The sequence below is a fragment of the Homo sapiens genome, chromosome 10, assembly GCF_000001405.40.
Source record: "Homo sapiens chromosome 10, GRCh38.p14 Primary Assembly".
NCBI classification, from domain to species: Eukaryota; Metazoa; Chordata; class Mammalia; order Primates; family Hominidae; genus Homo; species Homo sapiens.
This window is the reverse complement of record NC_000010.11, coordinates 125,645,358-125,665,332: the sequence shown is the minus strand read 5'-3', so window position 1 is coordinate 125,665,332 and position 19,975 is coordinate 125,645,358. Positions and strand designations below refer to the sequence as shown.

Sequence of the window (19,975 nt, the reverse complement as noted above, 5' to 3'; positions counted from 1 at the left end):
TGAACCTTGGTTTAGACAAAAAATTTATGACTAAGATCTCCAAAGCATAAACAACAAAAATGAAAATAGACAAATGGAACTATATTAAATCAAAAAGCTTCTGCACAGCAAAGGAAACAATCAAAAGAGTAAACAGACAATCTGTTGAATGGGAGAAAATATTTGCAAACCATTCATCTGACAGGGGAATAATATCCAGAATATACAGGGAACTCAAACAACTCAACTGTAAAACAACAACAACAACAACAACAACCAAAAAACCAAGTAATTCCATTAAAAAGTGAGCAAAGGACATGAATAGACATTTCTCAAAAGAAGACATGCAAACGGCAAACAGGTATATGGAAAGGTGCTCAACATCATTGATCATCAGATAAATGGAAATCCAAGCTACAATGAGATATCATCTCACCCCAGTTAAAATGGCTTTTATCCTAAAGACAGGCAATCACAAATGCTGGTGAGGATATCAAGAAAAGAGAACACCTGTACACTGCTGGTGGAAATGTAAATTAGTACAGCCACTGTATTAGTCTGTTTTCACACTGCTATAAAGGACTACCTGAGACTGGTAATTTATAAAGAAAAGAGGTTTAATTGATTCACAGTTCTGTATGGCTGGGGAGGCCTCAGGAAACTTACAATCATGGCAGAAGGTGACAGGGAAGCAAGGCATATCTTACATGGCAGCAGGAGAGACAGTGAGCAAAGGGGGATGTGCCACACTTTTAAACCATCAGATCTCATGAGAACTCACTCACTATCATGAAAACAGCAAGGGGGAAATCCGCCCCCATGATCCAATCACCTCCCACCAGGCGCCTCTTCTGACATTTGGGGATTCTAATTCAAGATGATTTGCATGGGGACAACCATATTAGAGCCAAACCATAGTAGCCACTATGGAAAATAGTATAGAGGTTCCTCAAAAAATTAAAAATAGAACTACCATGTGATTCGGCAATCCCACTGCTAGGTATATACCCAAAAGAAAGGAAATCAGTATACTGAGGAGATATTTGCACTCCCATGTTTATTGCAGCACTATTCACAATAGCCAAGATTTGGAAGCAACCTAAGTGTCTATCAATAGATGAATGGATAAAGAAATATGGTACACATACAAAATGAAGTACTATTCAGCCATAAAAATGAATGAGATTCTGTCATTTGCAACAATGTAAATGGAACTGGAGGAAATGTTAAGTAAAATAAGCCAGGTATAGAAAGGCAAACTTTTCACATGTTCTCACTCCTTTGTGGAAGCTGAGTATTAAAACAGTTGAACTCATAGAGAGTAGAATGATGGTTATCAGAGGCTAGGAAAGGTAGTGGTGAGGGACATGGGGATGGAAAATGGTACAAAAATATAGTTAGGATGAATAAGATCTAGTAGTTGATAGCATGACAGGGGGGTGACTACAGTCAATCATAATCTATTGTACATTTTAAACTAAAAGTATAATTGGATTGTTTGTAACACAAAGAAATGATAAATGCTGGAGGTGATGGATCCTCCATTTCCCCTGATGTGATTATTACACACTGTATGCCTGTATCAAAATATCTTATGTACCCCATAAATATATACAGCTACTATGTACACATAAAAAATTTAAAAAATTTAAAAAAGGAGACATATAAATGGGAAACAGGCATATGAAAACATGCTAAACATCACTAATCATCAGGGGAATGCAAATAAAAACCACGATGAGATATCATCTTATCCCAGTCAGAATAGCTATTACTAAAAAGACAAAAAATAACAGATGTTGGCGAGGATGGGGAGAGAAGGGAACTCTTATACACTTTTGGTGGAAATGTAAACTAGTAGAGCCACTATGGAAAATAGTATGGAGATTTCTCAAAACTCTCAAACGAGAAATTACCATTTGATCCAGCAATGCTACTACTGAGTATCTACTAAAAAAAATCAATATATCTGAGGGATACCTGCACTTGCATGTTTATTGCAGCACTATTCACAATAGCAAAGACATAGAATCAACCTAAGTGTTCATAAATTGACGAATGGAGAATGAAAATGTGATTGCTATTTAGCCAAAAACATTTGCAAACTATTCACACTATTGGAGTGTATACATTTCCTCTTTGTATCAAATCTACCATATCAGGTAGGTATTATTATTCCCATTTTACAGATAGGGAAACCGAGGCTTGAGAAAGTTTAGTCTCTCTCATCAGGCTCACCTAGGAGATAGGAGAGAGACCTGGGGTGGACTCAGGACCTCTGAATGTCCAGCCTCTGACCCAACCACATTATGCTTCCTTCTCCCTTTATGGGAATTTTCATTGAATTGGGTCTTGTCTTTTTAATTTCCATTCATTTCCTCCTAGAGAGTCCTGCTTCAGAGCTCACTTTGTTGGGGTGGCTTTTAAGAGGCACCATTCAAATAACATTGGGGTGAGCTTCTCTTGCCATAAGAGCTAGCCACACCCCCCTTCAGGAATGAAAGACTCATCACTCTGGCTGCTGGGAGCATGGCCCTCACTGCCCACACCTACAGGTCTGTTATCTGAAGAGAGCTGCCTCCCTAGGGTCACGCCTTCTTCTGGGGGTAGCTCAGGAATAAATCCAATGCCTCATTGCTTGGTGCACAGAGACTGGGTCCCCTCTCCCCAGCTCTGAGTGGCCACCCAATGTCCAGAGCTCCCAGCCGGGTCAACAGAGGCCCTTGTTGGGACTACCCCTCTTCTGCCCAGTCCTGTTTCCTTCCCAGGCTTTTGTTGGGAGATTGCAAGGACATATTCTAGATAATCCTCAGTCCTCATTTTTCTTGCTTCACATCCTTCTACCCCCTCTTTTTCCCTCCTAGACGTTACCTCCCCTCTACCATCCTACATTTCCAGTGGAGAATCACTTGAGATTCTCTGTTCCTCCCCTTCCCGTGGTCTTAGGGCCACCTCATACCTACATTGCTGGAGGTTGGCTCATCTCCATAAACGTGGGTTGGCTCCAAGGTCCTCAGTACTGGGAGCTCCCTGACCACAGGAAGGATCTCAAATAACACATTTCTGTCTTCTCAGAATGTGTCTGCTCACTCACTGAGGACCACACCCTCCTTACCAGGCTATGGAAACATTTCCAGGCTCCAGCTCAGCAGGGGTGGCCTCTGTAACTTGAAACAACCGGCAGTGATGGCTCTGGGCCATTACAATGTTTTTTGTCTTGGAAAGAATACTTGAAAATTACAAAAATTATGCCATTTCCATTGCATGCCAAAAGCACCCAAATTGCATTTTAATCACTGTACAAAGGAAGCCCTGATACTTGGCTTGTAGATTCAAATGTGTCTGGTTTTAATCAAGGCGTGTGCTGTTCTTCCAGTTCCCTCACATCGGGCTAACGCAAAAGACACCAGAATCCATCACCAGTGCTACGTCAAAAGAGCCCCAGAGTCCACACTTGCCTCGGCAAGCGGAGGGGAAGCTGCCGCCCATATACAAAGTCCGGGAGAAGGTGAGTCCTGAACACTGGCCACTGCCATGTGCTCCTGTGGACCTCCCAGGGGGCAGCGCCGCTGGCACGTTGGGCCAAACAATTCTTCTTTGTAAGAAACTGCGCATTTACTATCCTTGGACCCCTAAGGGTTGGTAGTATCCCCACCCCATACCCTGGTGCTCTGCGGCAGGAACTACTTCCTGCTATGGACAATCAAGTTAGGCTCCTCCACGAACAAGAAGCAACACCCCCTTCCAGCCCACAGCTCATTAACATGCACCTCCTGCCTCCCCGGCCAATTCCTGAGCAACTTCCAGGCCCTGCAGTGGCACAAAGGAGAAGCCAGGGTCCATTTCATACCTGCCAGGGTTCCCCCCAGGCCTTGGGCCAGGGCTCTCATCTCCTGGGACCCTTACTGGCCAGATGACAGAGTTGGTCTACACGGCCTCAAAAGTCCTTCCCAGTTTTTGGCTCCATGAGCCTGTACACTTTTCCATCCTTGCATCCAAATAAGGTGTTTTGAAAGATAATTTTTATGACTTTGGGGAAGCTGGAAATAAGGTGGGGTTTCAAAGCCCGGCGCTGATGAGCACGTGGATATCCTCCCCCTCCTGTGTCTGCTCCATCTCTGGGGCCAGGTTTCATTGTCTTTCTTAGAGGTCGCTTTGCCTCATCCATCTTCCTTCCACATCACCCGATCCCAGTTCTGAAAGCATGCAGGGTTCTAATGTGTGCTCTTTCCCTTCCATCCCACTTTTCCAGCAAGCAGTGAATAACCAGTTCCCCTTCTCCGTGCATGACAATCGGCACAGCTTGGAGAACTCTGGATGCTACCTTGACTCCGTGAGTATTTCTTTCCAAATTATTAATAAAACAGGGAACAACACAAGGGATCTTGATTTTCTGGGGTGTGTTGAAGATAGAGGATTGGCCTCAAAACTGGAACAAGGTCAAAACAAAGCGAGGTCTTAAACAAGACTCATAACAGATTAAAAAAAAAATGTTCAAAGCTCTCAGAATTCCACGCCGCTTTCAAGATCTACACCAGTGTTCTGCCTAGGTGTAAGTGCGCTTCATCCTTCTGCAAGTGCCTTCCCATAAATTGTCTCTTTTGCGAGCTTTCTTGTGAGGATCTGCCATGGGAAGGAGGGACTGCTATGCGTATCTCTGGATGGCAGAACCAGGATCCACGAGGAAAGGTCAGAAGGAGGAGGAGCTTACATAATATAAGGAAGGATTTCCTTGTAACTGGAGTTGCCTTTTCTCTACAGGTTGTGAGTTCCCCATCACTGGAGAACATGAAGTCTGATACAGTGGTGGTTCACACAGCACTGTGTGATAGAAATGTAGTGTAAACTGTATGCATAATTTTAAATGCTTTAGTGGTTACATTAAGTACAAAGAAACAGGTGAAATTTACTTTAATAATATATTCTATTGGCTGGGAGCAGTGGCTCAGCCCTGAAATCCCAGCAGTTTGGGAGGCTGAGGTGGGAGGATCACTTGAGGTCAGGAGCTTGAGACCAGCCTGGGCTACATAGTAAGACCCCGTGTCTACAAAACATTAAAAAATTAACCAGGTGTGGTGGTGCATGCCTGTTGTCCCAGCTACTCAAAAGATTGAGGTGGGAGGTTCACTTGAGCTCAGGAGTTCAAGGCTGCAGTGAGCTATGATCACGAACACTGCACTCCAGCCTGGGTGTCAGAGTGAGATCCTATCTCAAGCAAACAAAAATAATTTATTTAGCCCAATAATTCTCCAAATTGCCCATTCAACATGTAATCAATATAAAAAATTAATGAGATATTTTACATTCTTCCTTCCAAACCAAGTCTTTAAAATACAGTTTGTGTTTTACACTTATGTAACATCTCAACGTAGACAACTCACATATCAAGTGCCCAATGGCTACATGTGGCTAGGGGCTACCAGACTGCACAGCACAGGGAAACCTATTAGATAGAAAGCTGTATCAAGTGATACCTGCAAATCCTCATGGAACCTGAAAGTCCATGATAATGAAGGTGTTATTAATGGCCCACCATTTATAAAGCATCTGCCATATACCAACATCTCGTATTATTGTATTCAATCCTCACAACAATCCTACAGGCTAATTACACTTATCATCTCAATTTAGAGATGAGCAAATTGAGATCCAGTAAAGTTAAACAACTTGCCCCAAATCCCTCTTTCTTCTAGACTACAGTGTCTTAACTAAATAGAAGTGCCTTAACCCCAGAAATCTGGTTTTCTTCTGGCAGAATGTTGAAAACAGGACCAGAATACCCACTTTGCCTGCCTCTGTACATGGGGTGCTTAATATTGTTTTTTAAATAACCAAAGCAACATATGTCCTTTAAAAAACTGAAATCATACAGAATTGTATAAAATTAAAAATAAATTCACACCCTTATTTTCCTTCCTCACAATCTGACCTTGACGATTCACTGCTAGTAATGGTTTTGTGGGTAAAATTTGAGAGTTTTTCCAATTCACATGCAGATGTACACACATAAATGTATATTTGTTAATGATATAAACAGGATTCTACCACTTGTATTTTGCCAAGGTTATGATAGTCTTCTAGAAAGCCTTGGAAGCTTTCCAACTTTCTCTATGTTCTGGAATAGCTTATATAACATTTGGATTTTCAGTTTAATGGAAGTTTTCAGTTTAATGGAGGTTAGACAGAATTTGCCTATGAAATAACTTGGGTTTGGTATATTTTTTAGAGTAAGGTTTTTATGACTTTTTCTTTCTTTCTTGATTATTAATCTATTCAAACTTTCTATCTCTTCTTGGGTAGATTTTGCTGATACGTATTTGCCTAAAATTTATCTAATTCATTTCAAATGTACGGTATAACATCTCTCAAAATAGTCTTATTTTGTTGTTCCTTAAAATTTGTTTTCAGTTGAATGTTTAGTTCACATACTTGCAATTGTTTTTGTTAATAATTTATTAAAACTATAAGTAGTCTTTAGATTATTGGTTTGACTACATCCCAAAGGTTTTTCCAATTAAGGTCTCATTATTATTTGCTTTCAAATAGCCTATGATTTAATTTTTAATTTTTCCCTTTCCTAAAAAAATTGGAAGAATGTTTTGAATTATCTATATGGTTAAAAATTTTAGAAATAATCTATTCATTGCTAATATCTAGTTTTATGGGTTATGGTAAATTTCAGAGTATAATCTAAGATTCTCACTTTTTGAATTATGAGATTATCTTTGTTGTCTTGTGTGTGATTAACTTTAACAAGTGTGTCGTGGCTGTTTACAAATAATATATATTCCCCCCTGTTGGTTACAAAGTTCTTTATATTTATTAATTTAGGACTGTGAATTATTTAAATCTTTCATATCCTTGTCTTAATTTTTGTATTGATCTGTCAATTTCTGCTTCTAAGATTATTCTTGAGTTTCTAAAGTTTTTTTTGCCTGATATAGTTTAATACCTTATCTTTCTGCATCAAAAATTTTTGTTGTTTTATTTTCATGGTGGCTTTTGCCGTTTATCAATATGAAGTGTTTCTCTTTATATGCATTAATGCCTTTAGCCATAAATTCTATCTACATTATGATACTGGCATTGTCACTATTACTCTCTTTTTGCTAATGTTTGTTCTTTATGTTATGGGCCATTCCTTTGTCTCCATAATTTGTAGTCATTTTGCTTTGCATTTGTCTTCTATTATAAATATAATGCAGCAGAGTTTTAAAAAAAATCGAAGAATCTATTTCTTTATATGAGAATTTAGCCCATTCACATTATTATGACAATTTATGCTTTTGGTTTTATTTCTGCCATCTCATGTTTCCTATTTATTATGCTTATATTTTTCTTTTTTTCTTCTTCTCCTGACTTTGCTAGATTGATTGAATTTATTTGCTCACTCTGACTTCTACTGATATTCTACAAGTACTTGCCCTCAAGTACAAATATTTAATAATTATATTAACACTATATTACTGTATGTATAAAAATTAATAACTGTAGCTTTTCCCCAAGAATAAGGTAAGTCTTCCAGCATGCTTTATCTCACTCACTTCCTGTTCCAGGGCTGCTGTGTTGGTGGCCAGGTTGTATTCCCCCAAGCCCTGTAGGTGCCATTCCTGGACTTCAGCTGGGAGCTCAAAGATGTGGCCCTGATTTCCCTAATCAAGTTGAAATCCTGGGATTTCAGTTGCAGATTCTTTTCTTTCTGTTTCCCTCCCTCCTTTCCATTTTGTGAATTTGTACAATTCAGTACATTTCATAGTCACATTATTAGCAAGCATTTAGATTTCATCATAAATTTTACTTGCTGCTTTCCTTGAAGCTCTTTCCCCTATTTTCATCATGCCTTTCTTTTACTTGTTTTTCAATTTGCTGGAGTATCCTCAAGTCATTCTTTAGAAGCCGACTTGGACATTGTGCCCCGCGTCATACACTTGTCCCTCCAGTCCCACTCTCCTCTTCTCCCTACTCTGGTTCTGGGGGCTGATCTATGTGGAGTACATCCCTCCCCAGTCCCCTCAGTCCTGGAGCCATTGCACAGCCCCTTGGGGTGTCCTTACACACACCCACACGTATGTAGACAGTCCCTTTATAGACTGTCCTCAAATTACTCTAATTGGAATGTGGCTTGCATCTCCTGCTGCAAATCTGACACTGACCCTTCATCACAGAAACCTCACTTTACTGACGTGAAATCTATGTAACGTAATGTCCATTTCCTCTCAGTCACTCATGTCAGTATAGTGTTTTCTTTCTTAGTTTTCATCTAGTTGTGAACAAACAGAATGTACAATTTTGAGTACACAGTAATTATCAGGTTCGCACGTAAGGTGCTGAGAGTGAATGAGGAAGCCTGTGGGCCAGGACCTAAAGGTGCTGGGTCCTTCAGGGAGCCCTTAGGGTTGGGAAAGAATTCAGCCTCCTCAGACTTTTCAGAGAAAGAATCATCATTGGTCCCACTGAGTGCTGGGGGGCAGCTCAGTGCTGGGGAGCAGGGAAGGTCGGGGGTGTTGGGAGTGAAGGGAACCTACCTGGGTCCCTAGGGTTGAGGCTGGCTAACAGTCTGTTTCTGGCTGGATTGTCTCTGGTTCTGCTTTCCATGTCTCTAAAAGTGCAGGCCCCTTGGTGGCACCAGAAGACTGTGAGGACAATAACAGAACCCTGCCAGGGTTTTGTGAGTGTCAATTCATAACCTTCAACAGGTTGTTAAAGGAGACCTTGAGACAGTCGTCATAGTGTGCATTTGAACATATACATGTCAAGTAACTGATTTTAAGAAAGACCTCAGAACTATGTGACTGAGGCTGGGCACGGTGGCTCATGCCTGTAATCCTAGCGCTTTGGGAGGCTGAGGCGGGCAGATTGCCTGAGCTTAGGAGTTCAAAACCAACCTGGGCAACATGGCAAAACCCTGTCTCTACTAAAAATACAAAAACTTAGCCAGGCGTGGTGGGGTCCACCTGTAGTCCCAGCTACTCAGGAGGCTAAGGCATGAGAATTGCTTGAACCCGGGAGGCAGAGGCTGCAGTGAGCTGAGATCGTGCCACTGAACTCTGGCCTGGGTGACAGAGCAAGACTCTGTCTCAAAAAAAAAAAAAAAAAAAAAAAAAGAACTATGTGAACTTGAATATTTTCCTTCGAATCTTGTAATTCTTCTCTCCAGGGCCTGGGACGTAAGAAGATCTCTCCAGATAAGAGGCAACATGTTTCAAGAAATTTTAATCTCTGGGCATGTGACTATGTTCCATCTTGTCTTGATGGCTTTTCAAATAACCAAATATCATACGTATATAAAGAAGCCATGGTGGTCTCAAGCTTCAGACGCTTTCCACGATGCTATAAAGAGATATGGAACGCTTTTACATTTCTTCCTGAGAGAAGCTATACAGAGGTTTTGAAAAAGAAGCCCAAAGTAAGGTTCACTGTTGACAAAAAGGTTGTTTCTTCACTGGAGTCCTAATCCTCCCAGAAGATTTTTGATGAATTTTGTAATACTGGTATTTCATCAGACATCCTAAAAGTATATGTTTTCTGATCCAGCACCACTATTTAATTTTTAAAGTACTTTTATGATTTTTATAAGGTCAAAAAACATTCAAATCCTTGTGAAATGAATTTGTGATGACATACGCATGTGTAAATAAACTTTTCAGATGGCCACATTTACTTTTGGGGAGTTTTAAAAAGTACATCCTTAATATACGGTCACATTTTCATTTTGAAATTTCAAACCATACAGAGGAAACAAAAGTCCTCCTTGATTTCACCACATCTCCAATCCTGTATGTCCTCAGAAGTAAGTTAACTACTTGTTTTTAATCTGCATTTACAATCATATACATGTGCATAACACATAAACTTTTCAACATTACTATGTTACACAGTGCAAAATATTCTACAACTTTTTTTTAATTTTGTTTTGAGACAGTCTCTGTCACCCAGGCTGGAGTGCAGTGGCACCATCTCGACTCATTGCAACCTCTGCCTTCTGGGTTCAAGCGATTCTCCTGCCTCAGCCTTCCCGGTAGCTGGGATTACAGGTGTGCACCATCACGCTGGGCTAATTTTTGTATTTTTAGTAGAGATGAGGTCTCACCTTCTTGGCCAGGCTGGTCTTGAATTCCTGGCCCCAAGTGATCCTCCCACCTCGGCCTCCCAAAGTGCTGGGATTACAGGCATGAGCCACCGCGCCTGGCCTTCTACAGCTTTCTTTTGATACTTAATAATGTGTCTTGGAATTCTTGCAGTGTTATAAGAATAGACTGATTTTTTAAAAAATCGCTGCCTATATTCCCAAATACAAATTCACTCTGTTTTAAATAATTATCTTAATAGACATTTGAATCATTTCTAGCGTTTTTGCTGTTAGACACAGTGTTACATGAACATGCTTGATCAGCCTCTCTGGATACATGTTTCCCTGCACCTCTGGAGTAGATAGACTCTGAAAAGTTGCTTTGTTAGTGCTTGGTTGACAGTAATGCACAAAGTGTTGAGAAATAATGCATTGGCTTTGAAAAAGACTGGACCAATTGAACTCCTACCAACCGTACCTGTGAATTTCTGTTTTATCCCCTCTCACATTATCATTTAAATATTTAAGGATATTTAAGGGGAAAAAAGGTACCTTGTTATTTTCTTATTTTGCATTTCTCTATTTATTAGTGAAGTTGAGTATCTTTTCCCACACAGTGGCCTCCTCTATTTCCTTTCTATAGACTGACAATGTCCCCATCATTCCATGCCACCATTTTCTTGTTTATCTTGAATTTTTTTCTGTACATGAATTTTAGAATAAGCTTGTAAAGTAAACAAACAAACAACAACAAAAATAACACTGCCAATGTGATAGGCATTTCCCCAAATTTAGCTTTTAATTTATGGGAAAACCAACACCTTTATACTGTATCTTCCCCTTTGTTTGAATTTACTTTATGTCCTTCAGTAAGGTTTATAATTTTCCTCACATGGGTCTGATGTGTTTCTTTTCCATGTTTATTCCTGTATATTTTGATATTCTATTGGCTATTTTGATATTCTATGGCTATTTTGAATGTTTTAATTGCACTTTTAGATTGGTTTTGGCAGATGCATGAGAAAGCTATTGATTTCTACATATGAATCTTCTACTTGGCAAACCGGCTAAACTTCTAATAATAAATAAATAAATATTCTATAAAATAAAAAGAAAGTTCTAATAATGTTTCAGTTGATTCTCTTCTCGATTTTTCTAAATGGAAAATTATATCATTCATAAAAGTGATAATTCTTTTATGTCATTTCCAAAATTTATATTTTTCGCATCTTATTGCACTGGATAGGACCTCCAGTACAATTGGAATATTATTACAGAGAGTATATATCCTCATTTTCTTTTTCTTTTCTTTTTAAGAGACAGGATCTAGCTCTGTTGCCCAGGCTGGAGTGCAGTGGTGCCATCATAGCTCACTGCAGCCTCAAACTCTTAGTCTCAAGTGATTCTCCTATGTAGTGAGAACTACAGGAGCATGCCACCACACTCAACTAATTAAAAAATTGTTTTTTGTAGGGATGGGATCTAGCTATGTTGCCCAGGCTGGTCTTGAACTCCTGGCCTCAAGAGGTCCTCCTGTGCTGGGATTAGAGGCATAAGCTACCATGCTTGGTCCTGATTTCTTTTTATATTAAGATGTTAAGCTTTTGTGTCAAATATATTTCTTTTTTTAAAAATTTTTATTATTATTATTATACTTTAAGTTCTAGGGTACATGTGCACAACGTGCAGGTTTGTTACATATGTATGCATGTGCCATGTTGGTTTGCTGCACCTGTTAACTCGTCATTTATATTAGGTATATCTCCTAATGCTATCCCTCCCCCCTCCCCCCACCCCATGACAGGCTCTGGTGTGTGATGGTCCCCACCCTGTGTCCAGGTGTTCACATTGTTCAATTCCCACCTGTGAGTGAGAACATGCAGTGTTTGGTTTTCTGTCCTTGCAATAGTTTGCTCAGAATGATGTTTTCCGGCTTCATCCATGTCCCTACAAAGGACATGAACTCATCCTTTTTTATGGCTGCATAGTATTCCATGGTGTATATGTGCCACATTTTCTTAATCCAGTCTGTCATTGATGGACATTTGGGTTGGTTCCAAGTCTTTGCTATTGTGAATAGTGCCACAATAAACATACGTGTGCATGTGTCTTTATAGCAGCATGATTTATAATCCTTTGGGTATATGCCCAGTAATAGGATGGCTGGGTCAAATGGTATTTCTAGTTCTACATCCTTGAGGAATTGCCACACTGTTTTCCACAATGGTTGAACTAGTTTACAGTCCCACCAACAGTGTAAAAGTGTTCCTATTTCTCCACATCCTCTCCAGCACCTGTTGTTTCCTGACTTTTTAATGATCGCCATTTTAACTGGTGTGAGATGGTATCTCATTGTGGTTTGATTTGCATTTCTCTGATGGCCAGTGATGATGAGCATTTTTTCATGTGTCTGTTGGCTGCATAAATGTCTTCCTTTGAGAAGTGTCTGTTCACATCCTTTGCCTACTTTTTGATGGGGTTGTTTGATTTTTTTCTTGTAAATTTGTTTAAGCTCTTTGTAGAATCTGGATATTAGCCCTTTGTCAGATGGGTAGATTGTAAAAATTTTCTCCCATTCTGTAGGTTGCCTGTTCACTCTGATGGTAGTTTCTTTTGTTGTGCAGAAGCTCTTTAGTTTGATTAGATCCCATTTGTCAATTTTGGCTTTTGTTGCCATTGCTTTTGGTGTTTTAGTCATGAAGTCCTTGCCCATGCCTATGGCCTGAAGGGTATTGCCTAGGTTTTCTTCTGGGGTTTTTATGGTTTTAGGTCTAATATTTAAGTCTTTAATCCATCTTGAATTAATTTTTGTATAAGGTGTAAGGAAGAGATCCATTTCAGCTTTCTACATATGGCTAGCCAGTTTTCCTATCACCATTTATTAAATAGGGAATCCTTTTCCCATTTCTTGTTTTTGTCAGGTTTGTCAAAGATCAGATGGTTGTAGATGTGTGGTATTATTTCCGAGGGCTCTGTTCTGTTCCATTGGTCTATATCTCTGTTTTGGTACCAGTACCATGCTGTTTTGGTTACTTGTAGTATAGTTCAAAGTTAGGTAGCATGATGCCTCCAGTTTTCTTCTTTTGGCTTAGGATTGTCTTGGCAATATGGGCTCTTTTTTGGTTCCATATGAACTTTAAAGTAGTTTTTTTCCAATTCTGTGAAGAAAGTCATTGGTAGCTTGATGGGGATGGCATTGAATCTATAAATTACCTTGGGCAGTAAGGCCGTTTTCACAATATTGATTCTTCCTATCCATGAGCATGGAATGTTCTTCCATTTGTTTGTGTCCTCTTTTATTTCACTGAGCAGTGGTTTGTAGTTCTCCTTGAAGAGTTCCTTCACAAATACCTTGTAAGTTGGATTCCTAGGTATTCTCTTTGAAGCAATTGTGAATGGGAGTTCACTCATGATTTGGCTCACTGTTTGTGTTATTGATGTATAGGAATGCTTGTGATTTTTGCACATTGATTTTGTATCCTGAGATTTTGCTGAAGTTGCTTATCAGCTTAAGGAGATTTTGGGCTGAGATGATGGGGTTTTCTAAATATAAAATCATGTCATCTGCAAACAGGGACAATTTGACTTCCTCTTTTCCTAATTGAATACCCTTTATGTCTTTCTCCTGCCCGATTGCCCTGGCCAGAACTTCCAACACTATGTTGAATAGGAGTGGTGAGAGAGGGCATCCCTGTCTTGTGCCAGTTTTCAAAGGAAACGCTTCCAGTTTTTGCCCTTTCAGTATGATATTGGCTGTGGGTTTGTCATAAATAGCTCTTATTATTTTGAGATACGTCCCATCAATACCTAGTTTATTGAGCATTTTTAGCATGAAGGGCTGTTGAATTTTCTCGAAGGCCTTTTCTGCATCTATTGAGATAATCATGTGGTTTTTGTCTTTGGTTTTGTTTATATGATGGGTTACGTTTATTGATTTGTATATGTTGAACCAGCCTTGCATCCCAGGGATGAAGCCAACTTGATCATGGTGGATAAGCTTTTTGATGTGCTGCTGGTTTAGGTTTGCCAGCATTTTATTGAGGATTTTTGCATGAGTGTTCATCAGGGATATTGGTCTAAAATTCTCTTTTTTGTTGTGTCTCTGCCTGGCTTTGGTATTATGATGATGTTGGCCTCATAAAAAGATTTAGGGAGGATTCCCTCTTTTTCTATTGATTGGAATTGTTTCTGAAGGAATGGTACCAGCTACTCTTTGTACCTCTGGTAGAATTCGGCTGTGAATCCATCTGGTCCTGGACTTTTTTTGGTTGGTAAGCTATTAATTATTGCCTCAATTTCAGAACCTGTTATTGGTCTATTCAGGGATTCAACTTCTTCTTGGTTTAGTCTTGGGAGGGTGTATGTGTCCAGGAGTTTATCCATTTCTTCTAGATTTTCTAGTTTATTTGTGTAGATATGTTTATAGTATTCTCTGATGGCAGTTTGTATTCCTGTGGGATCGGTGGTGATATCCCCTTGATCATTTTTTATTGTATCTATTTGATTCTTCTTTTCTTCTTTATTAGTCTTGCTAGTGGTCTATCAATTTTGTTGATCTTTTCAAAAAGCCAGTTCCTGGATTCATTGATTTTTTTGAAGGGTTTTTTGTGTCTCTATCTCCTTCAGTTCTGCTCTGATCTTAGTTATTTCTTGCCCCTTCTGCTAGCTTTTTAATGTGTTTGCTCTTGCTTCTCTAGTTCTTTTAATTATGATGTTAGGGTATCGATTTTAGATCTTTCCTGCTTTCTCTTGTGGGCATTTAGTGCTATAAATTTCCCTCTACACACTGCTTTAAATGGGTCCCAGAGATTCTGGTATGATGTGTCTTTGTTCTCATTGGTTTCAAAGAACATCTTTATTTCTGCCTTCATTTCGTTATGTACCCAGTAGTCATTCAGGAGCAGGTTGTTCAGGTTCCATGTAGTTGAGCTGTTTTGAGTGAGTTTCTTAATCCTGAGTTCTAGTTTGATTGCACTGTGGTCTGAGAGACAGTTTGTTATAATTTCTATTCTTTTACATTTGCTGAGGAGTGCTTTACTTCCAACTATGTGGTCAATTTTGCAGTAAGTGTTATGTGGTGCTGAGAAGAATGTATATTCTGTTGATTTGAGGTGGAGAGTTCTGTAGATGTCTATTAGGTCTGCTTGGTGCAGAGCTGAGTTCAATTCCTGGGTATCCTTGTTAGCTTTCTGTCTCATGGATCTGTCTAATGTTGACAGTGGGGTGTTACAGTCTCCCATAATTATTGTGTGGGAATCTAAGTCTCTTTCTAGGTCTCTAAGGACTTGCTTTGTGAATCTGGGTGCTCCTGTATTGGGTGCATATATATTTAGGATAGTTAGCTCTTCTTGATAAATTGATCCCTTTATCATTACGTAATGGCCTTCTTTGTCTCTTTTGATCTTTGTTGGTTTAAAGTCTGTTTTGTCAGAGACTAGGATTGCAACCCCTGCTTTTTTTTGTTTTCCATTTGCTTCGTAGATCTTCCTTCATCCCTTTGTTTTGAGCCTATGCATGTTTCTGCACTTGAGATATGTCTCCTGAATACAGCACACTGATGGCTCTTGACTCTTTATCCAATTTGCCAGTCTGTGTCTTTTAATTGGAGCATTTAGCCCATTTACATTTAAAGTTAATATTGTTATGTGTGAATCTGATCCTGTCATTATGATGTTTGATGTTTGCTCATTAGTTGATGCAGTTTCTTCCTAGCATTGATGGTCTTTACAGTTTGACATGTTTTTGCAGTGGCTGGTGCCAGTTGTTCCTTTCCATGTTTAGCGCTTCCTTCAGGAGCTCTTGTAAGGCAGGCCTGGTGGTGAGAAAATCTCTCCGCATTTGTTTGTCTGTAAAGGATTTTATTTCTCCTTCACTTATGAAGCTTAGTTTGGCTGGATGTGAAATTATGTGTTGAAAATTCTTTAAGAATGTTGAATATTGGCCCCCCACTCTCTTCTGGCTTGTAGAGTTTCTGCCAAGAGATCTGCTGTTAGTCTGATGGGCTTCCCTTTGTGGGTAATCCAATATTTCTCTCTGGCTGCCCTTAACATTTTTTCCTTCATTTCAACTTTGGTGAATCTGACAATTATGTGTCTTGGAGTTGCACTTCTCGAGGAGTATCTTTGTGGCGTTCTCTGTATTTCCTGAATTTGAATGTTGGCCTGCCTCACTAGGTTGGGGAAGTTCTCATGGATAATATCCTGAAGAGGTTTTCCAAGTTGGTTCCATTCTCCCTGTCTCTTTCAGGTACACCAATCAGACGTAGATTTGTTCTTTTCACATAGTCCCATATTTCTTGGAGGCTTTGTTATTTCTTTTTACTCTTTTTTCTCTAAACTTCTATTATTGCTTCATTTCATTCATTTGATCTTCAATCACTGATACCCTTTCTTCCAGTTGATCGAATCGGCTACTGAAGCTTGTGCATGCGTCATGTAGTTCCCGTGCCATGGTTTTCAGCTCCATTATTTAAGGACTTCTCTACTCTGTTTATTAAATCTAGTTAGCCTTTCATCTAATCTTTTTTCAAGGTTTTTAGCTTCTTTGCGATGGGTTCGAACATTCTCCTTTAGCTCGGAGAAGTTTGTTATTACTGATCGTCTGAAGCCTTCTTCTCTCAACTTGTCAAAGTCATTCTCCATCCAGCTTTGTTCCATTGCTGCCGAGGAGCTGCGTTCCTTTGGAGAAGAGGCACTCTGATTTTTAGAATTTTCAGCTTTTCTGCTCTGGTTTCTCCCCATCTTTGTGGTTCTATCTACCTTTTGTCTTTGATGATGGTAACATACAGATGGGGTTTTGTTGTGGATGTCCTTTCTGTTTGTTAGTTTTCCTTCTAACAGTCAGGACCCTCAGCTGCAGGTCTGTTGGAGTTTGCTGGAGGTTCACTCCGGATGCTGTTTGCCTGGGTATCACCAGCGGAGGCTGCAGAACAGCAAATATTGCAGAACGGCAAATGTTGTTGCCTGATCCTTCCTCTGGAAGCTTCATCTCAGAGGGGCACCCAACTGTATGAGATGTTGGTCGGCCCCTACTGGTAGGTGTCTCCCAGTGAGGCTACTCAGGGGTCAGGGACCCACTTGAGGAGGCAGTCTGTGTGTTCTCAGATCTCAAACCCCATGCTGGGAGAACCACTACTCTCTTCAAAGCTGTCAGACAGGGACATTTAAGTCTGCAGAAGTTTCTGCTGCCTTTTGTTTGGCTATGCCCTGCCCCCAGAGGTGAAGTCTACAGAGGCAGGCCAGCCTCCTTGAGCTGTGGTGGGCTCCACTCAGTTTGAGCTTCCCGATGCTTTGTTTACCTACTCAAGCCTCAGCAATGGTGGATGCCCCTCCCCCAGCCTTGCTGCCGCCTTGCAGTTCGATCTCAGACTGCTGTGCTAGCAGTGACCAAGGCTCTGTGGGCGTGGGACCCTCTGAGCCAGGCGCGGGATATAATCTCCTGGTGTGCTGTTTGCTAAGGCCATTGGAAAAGCGCAGTATTATGGTGGGAGTGTCCCGATTTTCCAGGTAACATCTGTCACGGCTTCCCTTTGCTAGGAAAGGGAATTCCCTGACCCCTTGTGCTTCCTGGGTGAGGCAATGCCCCGCCCTGCTCTGTGGGCTGCACCCACTGTCTGACAAGCCCCAGTGAGATGAACCCAGTAACTCAGTTGGAAATGTAGAAATCACCCATCTTCTGTGTCACTCACATTGGGAGCTGCAGACTGGAGCTGTTCCTATTCGGCCATCTTGGAATCTTCTCTGTGTCAAATGTATTTCAAGTGTTTTATCTAATTTGTTGTTTTTTGTTCCTCTTTGCTTATAAACTTTATTTCTTAGAGCAGTTTTAGGTTTACAGAAAAATTGAATGGAAAGTTCAGAGTTCCTGTATACCCACTCTCCCGCTTATATCCACAATTTCCCCTACTGTTAACATCTTGCTTTGGTGTGGTACACATCATATAAAAGCCCTGCATATTTTAAGAGTAAAATGAATGAAATTTTTATTTAATGGCTTCAGGATTTCATGTCTTGCTGAGGACTTCCTTTGCTTGAGCTTATTAAATAATTCTGGGTTTGTGCTATGGTTGTACGTCTGGAGTGACATTATAGCAAATAATGTTCTGGTCTTTATTGAGATAATTTTATGTTTTTCTATATTAATATGTTAATATAATAAGGTATATCAATGGATTTTCTAAACTTCAGCCATTCTAGCATTCTTGGGACAAACTCTATTTGTTATGAGGTATTATGCTTTCGATACATTCAGAATTCGATATGCAATTATCTTACTTGCAGTCATTTAGTTTTTAAACTTCTGCAATTATTATTTTAGCTTTCAGTTGAAGGCAGCTTTCTCTCCTTTTCTATCTTCTGACACCACTTATATAAATTGCAAATACCTATAGAATTTGCCAGGAAAGCTCCTGGACCTGGGGCTGTTTTCGGGTGCAAATCTTGGCATGTCTTTTCCATTTATTTTTATGGAGATTGGTCTGTATGGTACTTCCATTTTTTTTTCCTTTTTCTAATTTTGATCATTTTTATTTTTAGAGGAAACCATTTGTTTTACATGGATTTGTAAAATGTTGGTGTTTTAATACAGTTCTCTTTTTTAAGGCTCTTCAAGTCACATCCTGTCCTTTGACATTTTGAATGTTTACATGCCTTTGCTCTGTTTACCAACTCTACATTTTTGTTGCTGTTGTTTGCTTTTGATCTCGTTAATGTATGCTTTCATGTTTACTAATTCCTTTCTTGAGCTTATTTTGATTTTCTTTTTCTGGCTTCTCAAGGTGAAAACATAACTCAATTATTTCCAGTCTTTCCTGTTTTCTTGTAAATGTAGTTAAGGCTACTCCCTCAGAATGCCACTGTACATAGACACATCATGGTGCTCTTGTTATTGTCCATTTTTAAATAGCTTGCAGTTGTTTTCTTTCTTTTTATTTTTTGTTTTATTTTGTTTTGTTGGTCTTGAGACAGGGTCTCACTCTGTTGCCCAGGCTGGTGTGCAGTTGCATAATCATGTCTCACTGCAACCTTGACCTCCGGGGTTCAAGTGATCCTCCCCGCTCAGCCTCCCAAGTAGCTGGAACTACAGGTGCACACCACCACGGCTGGCTATATTGTATTTTTAGTGGAGACAGGGTTTCACCATGTTGCCCAGATGGTCTCAAACTCCTGAGCTCAAGTGATCCTCCCACCTGGGCCTCCTCAAATACTGGGATTATCGGTGTGAGCCTCTGCTCCTGGTCTGTTTTCTTTCTTAATTCAATAGTTATTGAGAAGTGTATTTGATTTTTTCTTTTGTTGTTATTTTTCATTGTCAACATTTTATTAATTAATTTCTGCATTGTGGTCAGTGATTAAGATTTGTATGATTTCTGCTTACTGAAAATTTTAAAATGTTCTTGAGGCTTAACACATAGTCAATTTCTGTCACTGTTTCACATGTATTTGACAAGAATATACAATCTCCCTTTTACATATTTTTTTTTAGAGGGAATAATTATAGGGCCATAGAAAGTTGCAAAAAAATTCTACAGAAAGATTCTGCCTATTTTTTACCCACTTTTCTCCAATGCTAATATCTGGCATAACTCTGGTAAAATAGAATATTTATTTTCTATTGCTGTGCATATTAGTCCATTTTCTGTTGCTTAGGATAGGATATCTGGAATAATAATGTAAAATTATAAACTACAAGTGTAATTTATAAGGAAAAGAAATTTATTTCTTACAGTTATGGAGGCTGAGAAGTCCAGAGCCAAGGGGCTGCGTCTGGTGAGGGCCTTCTTGCTAGTGAGGACTCTCTGAAGAGTCCCCAGGGTGAATAGGATAGCCCATGGAGAGGGGGTTGGGCATGCCAATGTGCTCTCTCAGGTCTTTCTTTCTCTTATTATCAAGGCACCTGTCCCCCTTCCATGATAACCTATTAACCATG

General features: G+C 39.7%; 1 protein-coding gene across 3 annotated transcripts in view, besides 1 other annotated feature; it reads left to right on the top strand.

Moving 5' to 3' along the window:
- The window catches only part of TEX36 (testis expressed 36), a 106,642-nt gene that overhangs the window by 17,831 nt on the left and 68,836 nt on the right, over window positions 1–19,975 (top strand). For 2 of the 3 annotated variants that reach the window (NM_001318133.2, XM_005269817.5), the window contains exons 2-3: window positions 3,356–3,487; window positions 4,232–4,312. In NM_001318133.2, the coding sequence (NP_001305062.1) occupies window positions 3,356–3,487; window positions 4,232–4,312 (213 nt within the window). Of the gene's footprint in view, window positions 1–3,355; window positions 3,488–4,231; window positions 4,313–9,136; window positions 9,640–19,975 lie in introns of those variants that run through there. The other variant, NM_001128202.3, reaches the window with a different exon arrangement.
- Window positions 2,452–3,651: an enhancer, noted in NCBI's record as "CDK7 strongly-dependent group 2 enhancer chr10:127350251-127351450 (GRCh37/hg19 assembly coordinates)". NCBI's record gives its function as "activates an origin of replication core promoter dependent on BRD2, BRD4, P300/CBP, MED14 and CDK7 cofactors, with strong dependence on CDK7, by STARR-seq in HCT116 cells {active_cell/tissue: HCT116}" and the evidence as "EXISTENCE:reporter gene assay evidence [ECO:0000049][PMID:35650434]".